Source organism: Homo sapiens, chromosome 15, assembly GCF_000001405.40.
Source record: "Homo sapiens chromosome 15, GRCh38.p14 Primary Assembly".
In the NCBI taxonomy this organism is placed as follows: domain Eukaryota; kingdom Metazoa; phylum Chordata; class Mammalia; order Primates; family Hominidae; genus Homo; species Homo sapiens.
The window spans coordinates 94,995,715-95,018,916 of NC_000015.10; the positions used below are offsets into that span (position 1 = coordinate 94,995,715).

The window sequence follows — 23,202 nt, forward strand, 5'->3', positions numbered from 1 at the left end:
CCTGTGGCTTATACTTTATCACCAATACATTGAGAACCACAAAGATCCTTGGCTCTGAGAGTGAATGAGTCTTAGCATGGTAAGGAATGTGAAAAAGTGCAAAAGTATAACACATTTTAAAAAATCATCTTCATTCTTTAAGAATTTGAACTTATTGCCCATCATGTTCATAAGCCTCCCCTCCCCAGCTTTTTTTCAATAAACTACATAAAATTAATCTATAGTTTTAAAGTTAGGAGTTTCATCTGGGGCACCAAATATCAATTGTACATAATTCACAAAACAATTAGTGTCTATAAATGTATATATACGTATATATATTATTTTGAAATAAAACAATAGGAAATTATTGAGTTCATTTAAAAAAAAACTGGCCAGATTCCTCACATTCATCAGAATGGCCACTGCCAGAAAAAGCATAAAACAATTGTTGGTGTGGATGTGGAGAAATTGAAATGCTTCTGTACTGTTGGTGGGTGCCATGGACTGAATTATATTTCCCCAAATTTGCACATTTAATCTCTAACCCTCAATGTGGCTGCATTTGCAGATAGGGCTATCAGGAGATAGTAAATTTAAATGAGGTCTTAAGGATGGGCCCCTAATTCTATATAGAATTTGTGGCCATAGAAGAAGAAAACAAGAGTCTCTTTCTCTTTCTCTTTCTCTCTGCATCATGTAAAGACATAGTGAGAAGATGGCTGTCTGCAAGCCAGGAGGAGAGCCCTCACCATAAAAGGAACAGGTGAACACCTTAATCTTAGACTCTTCAGCCTCTAGAACAGTGAGAAGATAAATTTCTGTTGTTTAATCCACCCATTCTCTGGTATTTGTTATGGCAGCCTGATCTGGCTGATAGAGTAGGAATTTAAAATCTAACACATTTTAAAATATCTTCATTCTTTAAGAATTTGAACTTGTCCATCATGTTCGTAAGCCTCCCCTCTCCTCCTTTTTTTCAATAAACTACATAAAATTAATCTGTAGTTTTAAAGTTAGCGTTTCATCTGGGTCACCAAATGTCAGTTGTACATAATTCACAAAACAATTAGTCTCTATAAATGATACGTAAAAATATTATTTTAATAATGAAAGAATGGGAAATTATCATTTGAAAAACTAGCCAGATTCCTAGTGGTACAGTCACTATGGAAAGCAGTTCAACAGCTCCTCAAATAATTAAAAATAGAATTACCATATAATCCAGCAATTCTCCTTGTTGGTATATGCCCAAAAGAATTGAAAACAGGGTCCCAAAGCGATATTTGCACACCCATGTTCATAGAAGTAGTATTTATAATAGCCAAAAGGTGGGAATCACCCAAGTGTCCGTGGACAAATGAGTGGATAAACAAAAAGGTGGCACATACCTACAGCTGAATATTATTCAGCCTTAAAAATGAAGGAACTTTTGATGCGTGTTATCACATGGGTGAACCTGAAGGCATTATGCTAAGTGAAATATACCAGTCACAAAAAGACCAATATCATATGATTCCACTTATGTGAAGTATCTGGAGTAGTAAAATTTATAGAGACAGAAAAGAATGGGTGATCCCAGAGGCTGGAAGAAAATGGAAGTAGGAGGTTATTGTTTAACGAGTACAGAATTTCAATTTTCCAGGTGAAAATGTTCTGGAGATTGCACTACAATGTGAACATGTTTAATATGACTGAATTGTACACTTAAAATGTAAATGTTATGTTATATATATGTTACTTAAATTTAAAAAAAAGTTAATTGAGCAGATCTACAGTTGAGATCTGCCGTGAGCATGGCCCTTTGCAGTACTGAGCACTTTTCTAACATTCAGAACCACCAATTCTTAACCACAGTTGATCACGATTGCAAAGGTCCTGTAAGTTTATACGTTTATCTACATTTAGATTCCAAATGTTCTCAAATAATGGCTTTAGCTCCCTATATTTTGCTTGTGTAGGACAATTGTGTTTATTCTTCACTTTGATGGAAAGGGGAGTTAGAGGAAGAAAATAATGGGAAGCCTCTCCACCAGGAAATTAAATGCTGCCTTCTGCATTATTTGTGGATCTGAGATCCTTGGGCTTATATTATGGCATATGTTTTTAATATGTGTACATCAGCAGACACTTTATTCTTTGTATTTTTCGTGCTGGAGATTTCAAAGCACTTTGTGAATAACAATTTCCTGAGATGTAAGCTTCTGGAAGCTAATTTTTTTTTTGTCGTGTCTGAGAAGAGAACATGAGCTTTATCTTGAAAAGTGTAGGGGAATGTTGAAAAGAAAGTTTATCTGTGTGTCGGTGCAGGTTGTGGAGTGTGAGGTGTGAGGGAAAGACACAGGAAAGGAAGGTCCCCCTTCGGCCTCTTGAGGTGAAGTTTATGAAAACAATATAATAATAATTATGCTATTTATAATGGGATTTAATCATGATAACTCATTATTGCCTCCCTTGAATAAATTAAAGATCCAAAGAGCATACAACCATGGTAACATTGAACCCTTGTTAAGAATTGGGACTTGTGAATGTGGGTGAGGAACAAAAAGGAGAAAAATAGTTTCAGTTTCTGACACTGAACAACTTCCAATGTGTATTAATGTTCTGTTGCTGTGTAATAAATCACCAAGAATGTAGCAGTTTAAAACAACAAAAATTAGGTAGTGAGCCTGGCCTCTGCCTTCCAGCAGAAGACTAGTGTGGTTTAATGTCACAAACTCTGCATGGACTCTCCTCAGCTGCCAATGTCTGCAGCAAACACATCATACCTCATAGTCTCCAACTTCAGCTGAGCCTCAGTGTCACTTGCTAGTTCTTTTAAGACTCCAGTGGCCTCATATTGGCCAGGATTTCTTACATCATCGACTCTGGTCAAGAGCTCCTCCTCTGTGCCTCATGGCACCTGGAGCATACAGCTCCCATCGCTTACCATTTTGAAATGACACCTTATCTAGAGATGTCCCTCTCTCCTTGAATAGATAGTGTGGTAGGCAGTATTCTAAAACAGTCTCCAGGATCCCTATCCCCTCCTATGCATGCCTTGTCTTAGTTCCTCCTTGTAAGTGTGAGTGAAACCTTTAAATTAGATGGGACATCACTGTGATTATGTGACCTTACATGGCACATGGGGATATAGCAAATATAATTAAGGTCGCTAATCAGTTGGCTTTGAGTTAATCAGTAGAGAAATTATCTGCTGAGCCTGACCTCATCACCAAGCCCTTAAAAGAGGCAGGGCCTTTTTGAAGTGAGAGAAATTCCACAGGAGGGATGGAAGAGCTGGTTTTGAAAATGGAAGCATCTTTATCACCTGAACTTAAGAACTGCCTATAGGGGTTGAGAGAGTCCTTGGTCAAGAAACAGGACCTCAGGTCAACAGCCACAAGGAGATGAATTCTGCCAACAACCAACCAGTGAGCTTGGAAGGTGATGTCGAGATGGGATTAGAAGCACAGCCAGCCCACAACTTTGTCAGACCCTGCTGGAAGGCCAAGGTCAAGGATGACTTCCTCATTTGTGGCACCTAGTGCAAAATGAATATAGGGGCCCCTTGTTCAAAAAGCAGTGAAGGCTGAGTGCGGTGGCTCATGTCTATAATCCTGGCACTTTGGGAGGCTGAGGAGGACAGATCACCTGAGGTCAGGAGTTCAAGAACAGCCTGGCCAACGTGGCCAAACCCCATCTCTACAAAAATACAAAACTTAGCCAGTCATGATGGTGGGTGCTTGTAATCCCAGCTACATGGGAGGCTGAGGCTGGAGAGCCGCTTGAACCTGGGAGGCAGAGGTTGCAATGAGCCGATATTGTGTCATTGCACTTCAACCTGGGTGACAAAGCGAGACTCCCATCAAAAAAAAAAAAAAGGCAGAAGAAAGGTATTTTCCTTTCTTTCATGATCTCTCTCTTTACCTGTGAAGGTATTTTTTATTGGCCATTTATTGCTGAGATGCTCCCTGTGGCTCCAGGGTACTCTTGAGGTTGGTGTAGACACCCATAGCTCATGACTTGAAGTGCAGGTGCCCAACCTCGATCATCTTGTGTGTTTCTCCAGGATTCAGTGCAGGTGAAGGGCAGCAGTGATTTTTTTAGTAGAGGTGAGGGAGCAGACAGGTAAAAACTTATCCCAAGGTGGTGAACAGGTGGTGGCAGGTAGGTCCATGCATGAACAGAGGGTCCCAGCCCCTGACACATGTTCATTGACCCATTGGACTTCACCAGCAAAATACAAATGCAAAGACAGTTATACAAAATTTTAAGATTATGAGTAGAAAATCATAAGCCACTGATGAGGGCCACCTTCTGAGGATGTGGTGCTATGTGGGTGTATGGTCTCATGCCCTTGAGGCTGGCCCCAGCAGAAGTAGAAGGTAGAGAGCATGAGGCCATGGATAATGCCGGTTTGATGATATTTGGGATATTATCCATAGAGTTCTAGGTTAAGCACAGAAAGGAAAAGACGCCAGGAATGTCCTGAGAGTAGAAGTGCAGGGATCAGGCACTAGAAGTCTTGGTAAAGTTGAAAAGTAAGTGGAGTGTGGTGTATAGAGTGAGAAAGGGCCGAAAAGCCAGGAAGTAGTGATCTAAGATTGAAATGTGAGTCTGACATTTTTGTGGCTGTGGTAAAGGAGGCTGAGGTGTTATAAAAAGCAAATAATTCTGTATTGGGGGCAGTGAAGTTGCCATGAAGATGAGTATCCACAGAGGCTGGTCTTCACACCTTCTTCGTTCTCCTCCTGAACAACAAACCTCTCTCACCCAGATCACCGCAGAAAGTCACGGGAAAACAGAGTCACAGTGTTTTAATAACATTACTGTGGCCAGGCACGGTGGCTCATTCCTGTAATCACAGCACTTTGGGAGGCCGAGGCGGGTGGATCACGAGGTCAGGAGTTCAAGACCAGCCTGGCCAAGATGGTGAAACCCTGTCTCTACTAAAAACACAAAAATTAGCCGGGCGTGGTGGCAGGCACCTGTAATCCCAGCTACTCAGGAGGCTGAGGCAGAAAATTGCTTGAACCCAGGAGGCGGAGGTTGCAGTGAGCCAAGATTGTGCCACTGCACTGCAGCCTGGGCAATAGAGCGACACTCCATCTCTCAAAAAAAAAAAAAGAATGCAGCCATGTTGTTGAGAAAGTGTCACTGAGAATGTCCCTTTTTATTTCGTAAATGCATGAGTTGCTTGTTTCCCAGTAGCTTCCTATGAGACATAGAATTTTCAACTGGATATTTTTATGATAAGAAGAAGGTAGTGGAGGAAAGAAAATAGTGATAGGGGCCCTGGAGCATTTGAATGCCATCTGGATTCCTAAGTGTAACCTTGTGGTGAAACTTTTCTGATTAATGTAAGAAACCAGTAGGGACCCACTAGCAGTCTCTGGTCTTCCAGATGGTTAGTTTCACGGCCTCTCCTAATGCTGTGGCTGAATTCTTGGTAAATTCTAAGTATCAAATTGTTTTTGGAGTTTCAATATAGATGTAGTCATGCACAACTTGGATTTTTTTTAAAAATGACCTGTTTACCTGTTGCATGGAGATTCTCAGTGCTAAACTTTTCTGGGTCTCTGTTCTGCTAAATGATAGTGTTTCTGTAGAGGAAAACAAAATCCCATTCACGATTTTAATGAAAGTAAATTTCTGGTATTCAGGTGATGAAAAATTTCAATTCAGGAAAAATGTACATTTATGTATTTGTATTATCAAAACATCATTCAAAAACAGGTTTAAAAAGCATGTATTCTTGTAACCAGTGTAACGAACCTGCACGTTCTGCACATGTATCCCAGAACTTGAAGTAAAATAATAACAAGAAGTATGTGTTCTAAAGAGTTTGTATCTTCTTGAAAGAAGCACGAGGTTTTTTTCAAAGTGTACCATTTCAGCTTGAAGCAATATTCTTGCTGTTCACCTAAGAAAAGCAGGAAAAATCCATCAAATCATCTGACATTAGGGGTTTAAGTGCAAGTGAATCCTTTTCAGCCCATTCCAGTGGCTCCAACCAGGCAATGAATTTGCATCTCAGCACCATTAGATGGCCTGGAGTTCTTAATTACCAAACAAATGGAAAGTTGCTGCCTAGTGCTGACAGCTCCTTGTGTATCATTATTCGCAGAACATGAACGATTAATGGAATTTTCCCAACACAGTCAAAGTTGTTTACTGATGGAATTAAAGCTGAAATTGGCAAGGTCCTAGTGGGAAGACTTTTGCTATAATGTCATGGACCTGCCAAGCTCTTCAGATGAAAAATAGGAACAATTAGTGATGGCTCTGAGCAGTTCTGGATATTCTTAAGGCTTGGTCCCAAATGAAATCATCTTTATTTGGATGTTGTATTGGGGAAAGGTACTGACATTTAATCTCTCCATGTGGATTATAAACATCAGTGACAGGGTCTGTGTCCTGATCAAAGCAATGTGCCCAGGTGGGCAGTAAGTTGGCATCATTCCAAAGCCTGAGGCAGAGAGAATGATCGAGATCCAGATCATCCATTTCAACTCCACTACTCTGGAAGTCCCAACACCTTTCTACAGAGGCTCAAGGGTGGTGGCCAGGGTATCAGGGGAAGATGGGGACAATGGTTAATGCCTTGCTTTATGAAGAGTTGTGGCTCTGGAGACAGAATCTTCTTAGTGATTTAGTTAAGGAAAAAAATAGCAATAAAAAGCAAGGTACAGACTAAGAGCATAAATAGGCAGGCATAATAATAAGGAGAATCCTACATCTATTCTAAGGTTTTCTCTCAAACTCTGCCCGGAACACAGGGTTACATACTTGTAATTCTGTATCTAGTAACTCCATCCCAGAGTACTGCAAAACCAAAATCCACTCTGACCCAGCTTTGCACCCCACATCCATATTTCTGTCCCACCTTCTTAATGAAGATCATTGCAAGCTTTCTTTTTCTTTGCCAATAGTAGCGTGCAAATAATCCTGCCTCTTTAATTATTTCCAAAATTGACAGCAACTTCTGTGGCATGGTGGTGAATAAGGACTGATGAGTTCAGTGTTCCGGACACTTGGCTGTGACCGTGCAGATGGCACTGATCCTGGGCTCTAGGGCCAGAAATTTGCCTCATTATTAGGAAGTGGCTTGTGAATTTACGGCCATTGTTTCTGTGATGTAAAACCGATCACACCAAGTATACCTAGAACTGACAATTTCTCATTGTAATTAATCAATGCTGCCATTTTGCAATGAAGGAAGCTCTCTTTGGCAGAGCATCCAGCCTCTTAATCACCACGTAGGTGAAAGTTGCATATGCCTCTGTTACTGGTTTTGATTGGGCATTATTAGCCTCTGACTTGTAATTTTTGGATTTCCTTAGACATACGAGTGCATGGTGTTACACATGTAATTTATAGATTGGTATTGATTCTGTATATATTATACCTGATGATACGGAGTTTAAACTTCTTTGAAGGTGAGCTTTGTCACTATCTCCTGGAGGGAATAGTGGCTTCTGAATATTAAATATGCTACATCATGTAAAGTGCTGAATCAGTGTAGAGTCAAAGGCTCTGGATATAGTCAACCTGCTTAGTTTTCCCATATAGGAGTTTCTGAGAAAACAACTGTCACACATCAGTATCTTTGCAACACTTAAATTTGCAAGATAAAATGAGCTCACTTGTGAACATAAATAATACTTTGCATTCACAAATTAAACAGTCTGGCATTGTTAGGTTGAGCCTTAGACAAGAAAGCAAATACGCTCTTAGAAGATGATGATTAATTTGTATAACACCAACCAAGTCCCAGGTAGGATTCGTGTTTGGTAAATGTTACTGGTGGTGGTGGTGGTGACGTGAATAACAGGATAACAGATAGTGTTCTGTTAATTCCAATTGGCAATAAACTCTGCCAAGTATACTGGATACCGTTCTGTGTTGTTTTCCTGTTGCTTGTTCAAATCAGCTCCAAGTGGGTAAAGCAAAGGGCATGTTTTGATCTTCTAAGAGCTCTCTTTAGGAGATCTAAAGTCTGTGCTCTGCAGACCTTTCTATCTCTGAGTGGGTCAGTGAAGTTTCACAGCTTCAACTATTCCACCGAATGTTCTCTGTGCCATGCAGGCAGGCAGGTGATCAGCTAGAATACCATGCAGAATGACACCCTATCTCAGTGTATTTCCAACACCATCAGAGACATATACTCATCCCTTGGAGAGCAGAAGGAACAACAGACCCCTACGTGTCTCAAGTCACCAGGGAAATAGTTATTTTATAATAACCACATTCTCTTTTTCATCATTCTACTATTTGTCCATAACAGTGGATGACTTGGACAAACCAGGATGTAGAACACAAAATCTTTTCAAGAGAAAAGATTTTACTTTTTTTTTTCTAAATCAAAATTTAATTGTTTTTATCACTGGCTTTACTACATAGCTCCTGGTTAGAATGAGGTGAGTATACACAATAAATCAGTCATAAATTTGAGGATTTCCTTCCATCGGATGTGTAGATTCTGGTGAGTAGTAATTTGTTGAGATGATGTAAGAATCATAGAATATCCTACAGAGCATAAACAAATGATGGCCCACTGTTTGGTAAAGTGGGATCTGCAGATAATGTTGATACATTCCTTGAGGTACACATATCAAGCGAAACTAATATGTGAGAACCTTGATGTAGCTCTTAAGAGCTTGATGTCCAAGAAAAACTAAACGTAGTTCTACCACTTCATCGCTGCATGACTTGCAAAGTTCGTTTAACTCTTTGAGCTTTGATTTCCTCAAATCATAAATGCAGTTAAATGCAGTTGTAAAACTTGAGGTACAATTATGATAGGGATTAAACAAGGTAATCTATGTAACTGCAAAGCACAGTGCCTGGAACATGGTAAATACTCAATAAATTGGCCATATTATTGCTATTCTGATATCATTCTTATTATTATGGCATGAAACCTCTGATTCTTCAATAAATATTCCATATTGAATGATCGGGAGTTTTCTTGTGTAGAGGTGACCAAGTAGACTTAACGCTACATTTAAAAGTATGTGAGTGTGTAAGTGTGTGCATTTGCCAGGCCTGAGAGGAGTTCAGCACTCTTCATGGCTCAGTGACCCTTGTGATAGAAAGTTGAAGCCTCTAGAGTTAAAAGCCAATGCGTTATTGCACCCAGTGATTCCGTAAAACTTATGAGTCAGAAAAAGTGGAGAAGGAGTCATTCTCTGAACTTGTTACTCCCTAATTACTTACAGTTAGCTCCACTATTTTTCTCTTTCTGCCACAACCAAGTTTTCTCGAATGTCCTGTTACTGTGAGTCTCCTCTCTTATTTCTATGCTTGCTTGTTTATAGCAAACCTGAAAATCTCATGATAATACCTACAATGAGGGATTGGGGCTACGTGTTAGTATGTAGAAACTATCCGTCCACCAGAAAGAAGGCAGCCTGACAGGAAGTGCTGCCTTCTTACCCAGGCCTAAGCGGAAGAAACTCACTCAACAAATTTTGTAGGGAGACACAGTGAAGTAAAGAGAAAAAAACTAAGGAATGTTTCTTTTCTCTCTCTCTCTCTCTTTTTTTTTTTTTTTTTTTTTGAGACAAGGTTACACTGTGCCACCCAGGCTGGAGTGCAGTGGTGTGATCACACGTCACTGCAGCCTTGAGCTGCCCAGGCTCAAGTGATCCTCCCACCTCAGCCTTCCATTGGGACCACAGGCATGCGCCACCATGCCAGCTAACTTTTTTGTATTTTTTGTAGAGACCATGTTGCCCAGGTTGGTCCCAAACTTCTGGGTTCAGGCAATCCACCCACCTCAGCCTCCCAAAGTTCTGGGATTACAGGCATGAGCCATAGTACCTGGCGAGGAATTTTTCATTATGTCAAATTTTGACAAAACTTTCTTGAAATAAAACTATTACTAGCTCTGTTAACTTGGATATGCTATATAACTCCTTGTGATTCAGCTCTCTCATGTCTAAAATAAAGATAATACTACCTAACTTATTAAGTTGTTGTGAGGATTATATGAGTTCATTTCTGTAAAACACTTAGAACAGTGTCTGGCACAAGGTAAAAGCTATATAAGCATTATTAAACATGTGATAAATTAATGAATAAAATAGGAGAATAACATTTTTCTATATCATTGCTTTTCTTCTTGCAAAACTGTATGCATAATTTTTATATCCAGTTGGCCCTCTATATCCATGGGTTTTGCATCCATGGATTCAACCAAATACAGATTTAAAAATTCCAGAATAAAAACTACATCTGTAACAAACACGTGCAGCCTTTTTGTCTCATCATCATTCCCTAAACAATACAGTATAGGCAACTATTTATAAAACATTTACATTGTATTATGTATAGTTTTTAGCCTAAAGCTGCCTTCTTACATATTTGAAGTTTAGCCTAAAGTTTTTCCATACATAGGTGATCTCTAACCCAGCTGGATATGTAAGCTGACTATAACCTACCTTTTTTTTTTCTTTAAAAAGAGCTTAGTACATTGGAATTTTCCCTTCAGATTTCTTTTTTTTTTTTTTTTTATACTTTAAGTTCTAGGGTACATGTGCACAACGTGCAGGTTTGTTACATATGTATACATGCACCATGTTGGTGTGCTGCACCCATTAACTCGTCATTTTCATTAGGTATGTCTCCTAATGCTATCCCTGCCCACTCCTCCCACCCCATGACAGGCCCCGGTGTGTGATGTTCTCCTTCCAGTGTCCAAGTGTTCTCATTGTTCAGTTCCCACCTATAAGTGAGAACATACGGTATTTGGTTTTTTGTCCTCACGATAGTTTGCTGAGAATCATGGTTTCCAGCTTCATCCATGTCCCTACAAAGGACATGAACTCATCTTTTTTATGGCTGTGTAGTATTCCATGGTGTATATGTGCCACATTTTCTTAATCCAGTCTATCATTTTTGGACATTTGGGTTGGTTCCAGGTCTTTGCTATTGTGAATAGTGCTGCAATAAACATACATGTGCATGTGTCTTTACAGTAGCATGATTTATAATCCTTTGGGTATATACCCAGTAATGGGTTGGCTGGGTCAAATAGTATTTCTAATTCTAGATCCCTGAGGAATCGCCACACTGTCTTCCACAATGGTTGAACCAGTTTACAGTCCCACCAACAGTGTAAAAGTGTTCCTATTTCTCCACATCCTCTCCAGCACCTGTTGTTTCTTGACTTTTTAATGATCGCCTTTCTGACTGATGTGAGATGGTATCTCATTGTGGTTTTGATTTGCATTTCTCTTGTGCCAATTACCGAGATTTGGCCAATCACAGGTAGCTAATTGTTCAAATCAGTTAGCTATTTAAGTAAGGCAAATTCTGAGCTAGAACCAACCCAGCTGTTCCTGGACCTCACTTCCATTTTCTGTTTGCCACTTTCCTTTTTCTCTTCCTAAATCTTCTTCAACCACATGGCAGTGCTGGGTTCTCTCTGAACCTATTCTGGTTCAAGGGCAGCCTGATTGGAAAATCATTCTTTGCTCATTTCAAGTCTGTTAAATTTGATTTGTAAAGGTTTTTCCTCTAACAGTATTGTAGGTAATATAGAGATTATTTAAAGTATATGGGAGGATGTGCATAGGTTATATGCAAACGACATGCCATATTGAGCATCTGCAGAGTTTGGTATCTGAGAAATCTCCTGGGGCAAATCCCTAACAATGACTGAGGGATGGCTGTATATAAATGCACACACATACACACACGAACACACACACACACACACACACACACACGTGCATACCAAAGATATATGCATTTCAAAAAGAGTGAGTTAATATTTTAGTCGGAAATCTAAACCATAATTTGATTGATTCTGGTTTTTATTCATATGTAAATATTTCAATGCACTAAATTTAATAAGCATTTCCAAAATTCTCTTTAGAACTCTAAGAATGTGTGTCTTCTCTCTGGACTAAGTTTTTTTTTTTAATCTTTCAAACTCTCCAGGCCTTTTCAAGTCTAAATGTCTTTGATGGTTAACGACCTTTATTATTATATAGAAGGCCACTCTTGCTCTATTTCCTGGCATGAAGTGATCAGTTGACTCCTGTCCTTTAGTGTCTGTGGACTTACCATATAAAGCCAAGCATGCTATATTTGTTGGTATTATTATGTTCTGTGAGCTGATTGGTTATTGCTCCTGTCTAATTAGTGAAAGTGAGAAAGTGAGATTCATCTTTGTTTTTACTTTTTTACCTTCTTTAGAAGTTGGATTTGTGGAGTTTCTGAAGCCCAAAATGACGTGGGAATTTTAGTTTTATTTCTTATAAAGAAATTAATCAGAAAAAAAATCAGTCAATCCATTACCCAGCTATCAAGGCTAATCTCAACTCCTTTCCTTGGCTCCTCTTTCTTGGACACTTCTCCTGTGGGCCTAAACAGCTGCTTCTCAGTCTTGCTTATCATAATCATATTTTGATAACAGCACCAATGATTCCATCTGCATTAATATCAGAAATGGAGCTAAGGAGAATCTCAGAGGCTCCTGATTTGGTGCAGCAGCTACTAAGAGAATCTTTGTTGGTACAAGTTAGGGGAAAGGCCAGAAGTGAGGAACAAAAGGAAGAATGGCAGAGAAAACACACTCTATTACCATCCTTGAGATTGCTCTGTGGCCCATCAGAATATCTTCTGAATCTAGGACTTTTTAATAGCAGGCATGTGATCCCCCTCCCAGAACATTTGTCATGCTATTTTAAACATTTAGAAAAATGGATCAACAGACACTACTAAAAAAATAAGCCAACGGCACATTCAAACGTCAACCACTGTGAACCTGTCTACCCCATTGTTTTTTTGTTTTTGTATTTGTTTTAATGAAAAATTGAGGGAAAAGAGAGACAATTGGTTATAGGAAAAATGCAAACAAACAAAGCCCTATTAGAACTCAGACTTTCTACCCAAGCAGGAAAGACTCCCCAAAAAGAATTGCCTGCTGGGTTAATAATCAAGAACTGAGTTGACGGTTTCATCACACAATAATGTTTGACCTGATATTCATTTTTAACTCACAGTGGTAAGAGTAAAGTGAAATCTTACAACAGCTGTCAAATTCTCATTTTTAATCCCCCAGTAACTGCTTTGGTACCATTCTGGAGATGTAAGATACCATATCAGCTGTCCAGGATGTTGTTAGTGCACTATTAACACTCTGCTCTTAGGACATTGGTGAGTGAGGCTGATGTTTAGAAACTTCCCCTTAGGTACTTAAGAGAGAGACCTACTAATGTATCCACAGACGACACAATGTACACATTCCACAGTAGTGAAGAAATGTGTTTCCAAATCTTTGCAGGTTAGCACTTCAGAGGCAGGCTCTTGGGAGTGTATCTCTAGTTGGACTCGATTTTTGAAATGCAGCTGCTAAATTGCCATTCAGGTTCATGCTGTGCTCGTAGGTTGGTGCAAAAGTAATTGTGATTTTTGCCATTACTTTCAATATTATTAAGTTGGTGCAATGTTATTATAACAACTTAGTGTGCTTAAACTCTTCATATGTGATGAGTAGATACTACATGAGGAGGTTTCACTATACTCAGTGGAAGTCTGTCAGATGTTTACTGTTGGACTTAGAAAGAGAAAGGATTGAGCTAAGATTTTGTATTATTGGATTCATTAGTCAAAGGCTGTAGCACAAAGTGTGATAGTATCCATTTTTCTTGAGCTGTGTGTTATTGGAGACTTTAGATATCTGTCTCTTGATGTATTTCCCACTGAGTCTTGTATTACAGTGAAAAACAACTCTAGATTAGTACTTAGGAGACCAGATCTCCAGGTGTCACTCTGGCTCTACCTATTTGACCTTTGATCAGCCTTCTTACCTCTATACTCAGAACCCCGAACCTGTACAATGGAGATACTGGATTAGATCATTTCAAAGGCCTCTTCTAGCTCCAAAAATCAATGACTATCACTTTAATAAACGTGTTAATGAAGTAAAATAACTGAGCTACATTCATGAACTTCTAATTATGACTGGACAATATAGCCTCAATTTTTCTTAAAATTAAATGATGTTAGAACAACACCAAGGAAGGAAGGAAGGAAGGAAGGAAAAAAAAAAGAAGAAGAAACCTTGTCAGCACCACTAACACAGTAACATTGCCACAGGGCAAGATAAAAGGATGTGCATTTGTGCCTGGATGCTTGTAGGGTGTGGTTAAAAGAAAAGATTCAGAAAGCAGACTACTTAGGTCCTCACCCTTCCTACCTACAAACTGAATGACTTTCAGCGAGTTACTCATTTTCTATGCCTCAGTTTTTTCATCTGCAAAATGCTAATAGTAATAGTCTCTACCCCATACAAATTATGACATCTGTGTCAGAACAAGAACAAAGAAGCCACTCTATGATTTCTAGGATATATTTTTAGGTAAAACAATTAAAGTATATAACAGTAGTGAGCTACTTTAATGTAAGAAATAAAAGGTGATATAGGTGTACGTTATTTTTCCAAAGAGAAATGTTTGAAGGATTATCAGCAAATGCACAGGAAAATTCTCAATAGAAAGGGAAACAGCACATGCCTGTAATCCCAGCTACTCAGGAGGCTGAGGAATGAGAATCTCTTGAATCCAGGAGGCGGAGGTTGTAGTGAGCAGAGATTGCGCCACTGCACTCCAGCCTGGGTGACAGAGTGAGATCCTGTCTCAAAAAAAAAAGAAAGGGAAACAGGGTGGAGGTGGTAGTAATGAGGGAGCAACTTGACAGAGGACACCTTTCTTGTAGGTTTAACTTCTGAATGACAGAAACATTTTATATATTCACAGCATGACATTAAATCAAAAAGAAAAAAGTCACCATAAAATTAAATAAAACAAAAATAAACCTAACATTTTATAAAATTGATAACATAACAACACAGAAGAAATACTTCTTCCAAGTAATTTTTGAACACTACTCTGACTTTAGGTTTTTTAATGAGGTATATTCTGAGAACAGAGAGAATCAAAAGTCAATCTTAAATATACACAGAAAGATCATTGCTGATTGTAATTATGAATATATTTTTTCTGTATTGTAGGATTAGAAACCAAGAATTTCATTGTCACAAGAAAAGTACAAAATTTAGGAAAAATTAAGCAAAACCCTACAATATTAATATTAAATTTGAATTGGAAATATACGTATAAACTCATGATTTATACATGACTCTATCTATCTATCTATCTATCTATCTATCTATCTATCTATCTATCTATTCACTCCTTGCCTAAAAATCTTAATATCCCAGTAGCAGTGACGCACCTAACACTCAAATCTTGAGTTCTAAGTTCCACTGCTGTCTTTGAATAGAGGGGTGAGAGAACAGCTGATTTCAAGTCTCCTTCAGAGAAAAGTGCAAGGTGAGCAGTAGCATGTGCTTGTAGCAGAAAAGAAAATAAGGGCATATCTCAAAAGGACTTAGGATCTTGATTTAAGGGACTCCCACTGGCCCAATTTGGTAGATCAAAACCAAAGATGCTGATAATGTATTATAAAAAAAATCTTCTGTTGCAATGAACAAATCCAGCAGTTATAACATTAACAAAATTAATAAATCAATTTATTATAATAATTTAAAAACCCAAGAGCCCACAGTGAAAAAAGGAAGACAGATAGATGGAGGAGATAATGTAGAGCATTTCTTTAAAGAACAATACTAGCTCATAACTGTAGAAGGAATAATATAAGTAGATCACCAGTGCTTGCACCACCCAATTACTGACAAAACCAAGGATTATCAATGGAAGTTAAAACTATTAAGTGATATGTTGTTGGGAAACAGGTTATTTGCACAACGCCGAAATAGCATGTTGAAGGTAGAATAATGGCCTCCCCAAAAATGTTGGTGTCCTAATCCCTGGAACCAGTGAATATGTTAGATGACATGGCAGAAGGGGATTAATGTCATAGATGGAATTATGATAGCTTGTCATTTGATTTTAAAATAAAGAGATTACACTGGATTATTTAAATAGATCCAGTTGAACCACAAGGGTTCTTAGAATTGGAAGAAGGAGGCAGAGAGATGGTAAGACTGATGTGATTTGAAAAGGACTTGACCGCCACTGGCTGTGAAGACAGAGGAAAGAGCCAAGTAATGTGAGTGGCCTCTAGAGGCTGGAAAGTCCAAAGAAACTGATTCTCCCCTATAGCATTTAGAAGGGAATGCTGTCCTGCCAACACATTGACTTTAGCCTACCGAGATCTGTTTTGGACCTCTCATCTACGGAACTGCAAGATGATAATTTGTTTCGTTTTATGCTCCTATATTTGAAGTCATTTGTTACAGCAAGAATGGAAAAATGAATGCAATCACCCTACACAGTAATTATAAACTACAAAAGGAAAAAGCTACTGTTATAATGGATAGATCCAGCAGTTATCATATTAACAAAATAAACAAGTCAAACATCTTAATCAATAAAAAGAGTACTTGACATTATGTAGTTCCTCACGTGATGCAACGTGAAGTACACGTTATCAATGGATTAACCTCACCAAAACTATTGAGCACAAATCCAATCAATTCTATCTAATTTCTAGTTTATAGGAAATACCAGGGATAGGAGAGAAAAATGAACAACACTTTGAGAAAGTTAATTAGATAAATAAAAATGAAGCATATTCTACAATCAACTGGCCTGGAGTTTTCAAAATGTCCATGTCTTGAATAAAAAGGTGGGGTAGAATTCATCAAATGCAATTTGTCAACATTAATTGGACCTTAGCTGAAAAATTAATTTATGGAAGATATTTTTGGGTGATTTGATAATTTGAATATAGACTAGAAATTAGATATAGTACAATTTTGTATATTCTTAGATGTCATAAAAGCCTTGTGGTTTTTATAGGAGAATACCCTTATTTTTAGGAGATGTATATGAAATTATTCAATAGTGAAATGTGAATATCTTCTTTAAAATCTCTTGCTTTTAAATGATTCAGGAAAAAAAAAAGTGAAATGTGACAAGAGGTTCACAATTGCTAAATCCAAGTGAATAATATGTGTGTATTTATTTGGCTATTATGTTATTGTGATATATTTGCTATTCTTCAAAATAAGTGTTAAGACTGGGTGCTGTGGCTCATGCGTGTAATCCCAGCATTTGGGGAGACTGAGGTGGGTAAATCACCTGAGCCCAGGAGTTGGAGACCAGCCTAGACGACATGGTGAATCCCTGTCTCTAAAAAAAATATAAAAATTAGCCAGGCATGGTGGCACATGCCTGTAGTACTAGCTACTAGGGTGGCTGAGGTGGGAGGATCACCTGAGCCTGGGGAGGTTGAGGCTGCGGTGAGCAGTGATTATGCCAATGTGCACCATCCGGGGCAAGTTAGACCCTGCCTCAATCAAACAAACAAACAAAAACCACATATGCACACACGCACACACACAAATAAATATTGAGAGAAAAAAGTAAATTCTTTCAAACAGTGGGATGTTCTTAAACAGAGACTTGATCTAAAAGGTTAGAAGGGTTTGAGGAACCTGGAGTTTAGGTTGTATTGACAATTACGTTAATCATACAACTAAAGTGCTTAGAAAATGTTCAGGCACTAGTGAGCCTCGATAAATGTTACCTTGCACTTCCATACCTCGCCTGTGTGTCATGTGCTTTGTCAGGCCACTGAGGGGTTCCTGAGACATTTGGGCAAAGAGCACCCAACTAATAGCAACCCAAATGGTGAGGCAAAGCAAGTACAAAAGACCCTAACAACCAACAAAAGTAAAATGTTATTACAAACTTAGTAGCAATTAAAAAACAAGAACAACTCAATAAGGCATTAATGATGCTCTGATAACAAAGCTTATTTCCTGGAAACTATGGGAATTCCAACAATCAGCTTGCCTCCCTAAATGGTAGGAGCTTCACAGCAATGCTAAGCTTTTTGTAGCAGCCAGACTTCCTGGCACCATACTAGATTAAGGTCTAGAGTAAACTCCCTCAGCATGCTAATTTTAGTTTATCAATATCACATGTTAGTGACTCTTCATAACTCTTTTAATAGCTTCCAACTTCCAATGGAATTTCATGTCATTTGCACATAAACAGTGCAGGAGGAGATCAAACTTGGGGTAAGTTCTTGGCCCTTCTAGAAGACCTTTACAGCCCCACCAAAGGGCCGAAGACTTAACTTTGAGAAACACTTCTTTAGAGCCCAATCATTCCAACAAAATATGTTACTCTCTATTTCTATGTAACCCCCGTTTAAGATCAACATTGAAATATAGTTACAAGGATTCCAGTGATGCACAAATAATATTGGGTTCTTCTTACTCCTTTTTTCTGAAAGGTTCTTTCAGTAGGCCATTCTTTCTCATATTGGTTAATTTTCCCTTTAACCTTTCCCATGATTCCTAACTCTGAAAAGGCTGAATACTATCAAATCAGAGATACTATAGAAAGAATCAAAATGAGAGAATTCATTTGCTTAGAAACAGAAGCCCACTTATCCCAGACAGAAGACAACTGGATATAATTGGTATCAACTTCTTTGACCCATTTTAGCAAACACTTTCGGATTGTTGTAATGATCTTAGTGAACTCCTTAAAGACCCTGCCTGTAGTGATACACAACCCTTCCAAGATTGGGAATTCTATTTTGAAGAAAACAACCTCCGCAAGCGATTACCATAGCCTTTCCCTTTTAAACTACATCCCTGCAACACTTGAGTGATTGTAACAGACTCAAGGCCTCTGAAAGTAATGGGATTATTCTGGCACCACAGTTCACTGGCTAGCCTTATTTTGGAAAATTCATCTCTCTTAATGTTGTTAAAAGAAGGTGAGGCAGCCCTAACCTATGTCTGTTACTTTGTAAAGGAGGAGCTTAGAGTAAACCAGGAAAAAATGCATGAGCAGACTTGGGGAAGCAACTGAGTCAAACAGTGTAAGATCTCCACTAGGCTCAGAGGAGTCAACTTTTTCAGTTACTCGTCATATTCACTGAAGACAAGAAAGAAGCCGTGATAGTGAGAGATAGAGTTCACAGTGTGCACTGCCAGGGGTGCAGACATTCATACCTGCCCACTTCTGGTATGGTCAACCGGGAGCAGAGGACATTCTTTTATTTGATTTAGCAGCCATTCATGTCACATCTACCATGTAGCAACCACTGAATTAAGCCAAGAAATCCATTATAAACTCTACTCTTGGATTTATTAACCAGTAGGGAAGGAAATTCAAGCCAGTGTCCAAATATTGTAATTGAGTATAGTGTCAGATTTTGTGCAGAGTAGGGATTGGGAAGGAGAAAGTGGAAAGAGACATGTGATGATGCTTAGGTATGGGTTGAAGACGCAATGCTCCGAGCACTGCTTGCTCAGGCCGAGGGAACAGCCCGAGCAAGTGCTGCTGTCAGGCAGTCACAAGGGAATAGGCATAGCATGGGGAAGGAGGCCGTGCCAGTTGATGTTGAAGCTCCTGAACCTTTGTGTGCCAGGCTGAAGGAGTGGGTCCATACTTACATGGGCAGACTGGCATTTTAGGTACACCCTTGGGACATCAGTTTGCTAGCAATTTGCAAGGGGGAAGGTGTTGGAGGGAAGAATAAGAGTCTGTTGAATCCAAAGATCTGTTGAAAAGCGGCTAGTAAGACTGAGGAACTCAGTCTCCAACTTTATTTAATTTTAATTTCTTTAAAAACTAACATATATTTCTTTTGTACTTATAAACAAATAAACAATAATTTATTTACAACTTATAAAAATAAAAAGTAGCCTGTAATCCCAGCCCTTTGGGAGGCCAAGGCAGGCAGATCACAAGGTCAGGAGATTGAGACCATCCTGGCTAACACGGTGAAACCCCGTCTCTACTAAAAACACAAAAAATTAGCCAGGCATGGTGGCAGGCGCCTGTAGTCCCAGCTACTCGGGAGGCTGAGGCAGGAGAATGACGTGAACCCGGGAGGCGGCAGGGCTTGCAGTGAGCTGAGATCACATCACTGTACTCCAGCCTGGGCAACAGAGTGAGATTCCGTCTCAAAATAAATAAATAAATAAATAAATAAATAAATAAATAAATAAATAAAAATAAATATAAAAAGTAAAGGAGTGTGCACAAAGGCCCAGTGTGATTTTTAAATCTCTGAGTTTTAATTTCTTTCTTTTTTTCTTTTTCTTTTTCTTTTTTTTTTTGAGACAATGTCTCCCTCTGTCACGCAGGCTGAAGTGCAGTGGCCAATCTCGGCTCACTGCAACCTCCGCCTCCCAAGTTCAAGTAATACTCCTGCCTCAGCCTCTGGAGTAGCTGGGATTACAGGCGCTCACCAACATGCCCGACTATTTTTTGTGTTTTTAGTAGAGATGGGGTTTCGCCATGTTGGCCAGGCTGGTCTCGAACTCCTGACCTCAGGTGATCCACCTACCTCTGCCTCCCAGAGTGCTGCAATTACAGGCGTGAGCCACCGTGCCCAGCCTGAGTTTTCATTTCTACATTTTAATCATACAACACATAAGTTACATTGCTTGGAAAGTGTATAAATAAATAAAGATACTTCAAACATACATAAGTGAGTTAAAGGGACTCTCATAAATTCTCAGATGGAGAAAAAAGTGACTAAAGTCCTGAAGTATGATATTTTTCTAGCAACTACTACCAAAATACATTTTTTTTTATGTCACCGCATAAAGATGCCTTAGAATTTTGCCTAATTTTCTAACTAAGGCGACCGATGAATAGAACATGTATTGGAATAATCTGATGTTAGAATATGAGGATGGAATTTCTCTGATGACAGATAAGTCCACTTTGACACATAGATTCTAGAAAAGCTGAATCCCTCTGTTTTAAATCTGAGAAAAGTTGAATTTCAGAGAGTAGAGATACGGGGTCCTGAAGCTCCCTAATTTTTGTGAACATTACATTTGGCTCAGTAGCATAAACATCCATCTGAAGCTTTCAGTCTCTTTGATCATGGCAAGCTCTTTATTTATTCATATTCTAAAAGGTAAGCAGCTCACCACTGGTTTCTTAGTGATCAGTGGACTGATCAGAAAGAAGAGGAGGGGTGGCCAGGATCCCTTTGGCAGGCAGTTACTCTAGCCCTGGCACAACCCAGTCTGTGCTAAGTGGGTGTCTGTGAAGCTCTGATTCAGACAAGTGGAACTTGCAAAGTTCAAAGATGCTTCATAAAAGCTATCAGTTATTTTACTTCTTGCTAGAAATTGCAAACATGAATATACATTGCAGGTTATTACAGGAAGGAACCCCTGCATATTAAAATGTGACATGGTTTTAAAGTTTCATAACCTAAATCACGAAAGTAAGTTGCATTTTCATCTGGAAAAGACAGGAACATGTTAAGCCGGGTTCAGTGTTTATAGTAGCAGGCTGTGTCCATGTTACTTATAAACACAAAACAGACACAACCCTGACTTTAGAGCATAACAGCTGCATCCAAAAGCTTTATTTCTAAGTGAAATGATGCAACAGAAGCCTTTTAAAGAACTAGCTATCTTGTACATTTTAAGAAACAAATAATCTCACTTAAATAAGCTTACTTGTGATAATGAACTTTAGATTCAGCATATTTTCCTGTAACATTTGAAATTGCTAATAAGTCCCTAAAGCTGCTTTATACATGAAAACAAATTAAATCTGACTCTTGTAAATAAATTGCACCAATATATGAGATGTTCCAAGATACAATGTTTTTAAGTGCTTTTTTCAAGGGAGTCCTTTAGGAATGTATGATAAAGGATGTAAAGTTTGATGCTTTTTTTAGCCTTAGCAAAGCCATTTATATTTGGAAATGCCATTCTGAGTAGGCTTCTGGAGTAGATGTGGCATCTTCATAGTGTTTTTTTGTTTTGTTTTGTTTTTTAATAGCCTGCATCCATGGATAGGAAAGGGGCACAATGCTGAGAGCTTTTCATCTAACATAGTAGTTACTGGGGATAATAAACCTTTTTCCATATTAGGCCCTGGAGAACATGAACATGAAAAAGTATATTCAAGGGAATTTATCATTTGTATAATTGATCAATTTAGCACATTTGAAATGTTTGTCATATTAAAGAAGGAGAATCCTTATAAACCTGGAATTGTAAATGTTTTTCAGAAAATCCCATGTTTAATCAGTCATTGAAATGATGCATTAAATTTGAATCTCCTTTAACTTGCATGACATCATGGCCCATGCAAGAGAGCTGAAATTAATCAAGATAATTCTGTTGTATGACCTACTTTGGCATTTTCATCTGATGGAGCCAGGAAATGGGCTGGCTAATAGTCCATTCTGGAGTATTCTAAGATCTTAGCAATTCCATATTTAAGGAGGTTAATAGGATACTAATTGGGGCCTAGGTGAAAAGTTCACAAGAAAAATGAACTCACCTGGATATGAGGAGTATGCACAGCCCAAAGCCCTCCCCTTTACAATGGCTCTTCCAAATGGTTTCACCTCCTAATTCAGAGAGAAAGAAAGCTCGCACCTTGGGAGACTCGCACAGCCAGCATTCTGTCTCCTGGTCCCTGGGTAACAATGGCTGGCCACATGCCAAGGTTGCAGGCCATTAGCAAGATCAGCATTCTGCCTCTGATGAAACGAAAGTAAAGGAAAAAATTCCAAAGGGGGAAAATAAGTGTCAAAAATCAAACCTTTGTAAGAGTTGTTATGAACTTTTAAGAAAAGCGCATGTTGTTAAGACTTAAGAAGTTCCAATGTTTAAAAATCAACTTTTATTCATCACTTTTGCAGAAGTAAATTAAACCACGTTTTATTGTTTATTTTTTCAACAAACATATGACAATCTTGGGCTTGGGTCATTGTTATTGACTAGCTAGTGGCTCTATTCATCAAGACCAATAGGGAAGATAATATTCTTTCTCAATTTTCTCTCCTGTAAATATTTGCAATAACTCCTGGGTGACTTGGAAAATTTATCAACATAAAATGCAGTGCTCTGAAATATTGCAGACTCTCTCTGTTGCGTTATAGCCCCCCTGGCAATGTTAGACTGTCCTAACGATGTCTCAGCATTGTCATTCCTCACCTTGTTCTCATTATAGTGTACCCATAGATGGCACATTGTGCTTTTCTTAATATTTTCTTAGCCTTTTATGTACAGAAAGGGTTAAGGATTTTTCTACCATAACGGCTTATGGCATGTCTTTCCATCTCTCTCTCAGTGTGCAGTCCATCTTCCAAGTTTCCAGAAGCGGCTGAGATTTTTAAAAACAGCTGTAATCTGCGGTCATTGATGGTGGAGTAGATTGTTTGCCAAACTATTACCATAACTGTCAACCGAAA

The 23,202-nt window shown here is 38.7% G+C and overlaps 1 long non-coding RNA gene across 1 annotated transcript; it reads right to left on the reverse strand.

Moving 5' to 3' along the window:
- Positions 1–5,654: 5,654 nt before the first annotated feature.
- LOC105370989 (uncharacterized) lies at positions 5,655–22,412 on the reverse strand. The gene is made up of 2 exons (XR_932645.2): positions 22,287–22,412; positions 5,655–5,884 (listed from the first exon to the last, which is right to left on the reverse strand). It is a non-coding gene; the product is annotated as an uncharacterized LOC105370989 (long non-coding RNA).
- Between the last annotated feature and the right edge of the window lie 790 nt (positions 22,413–23,202).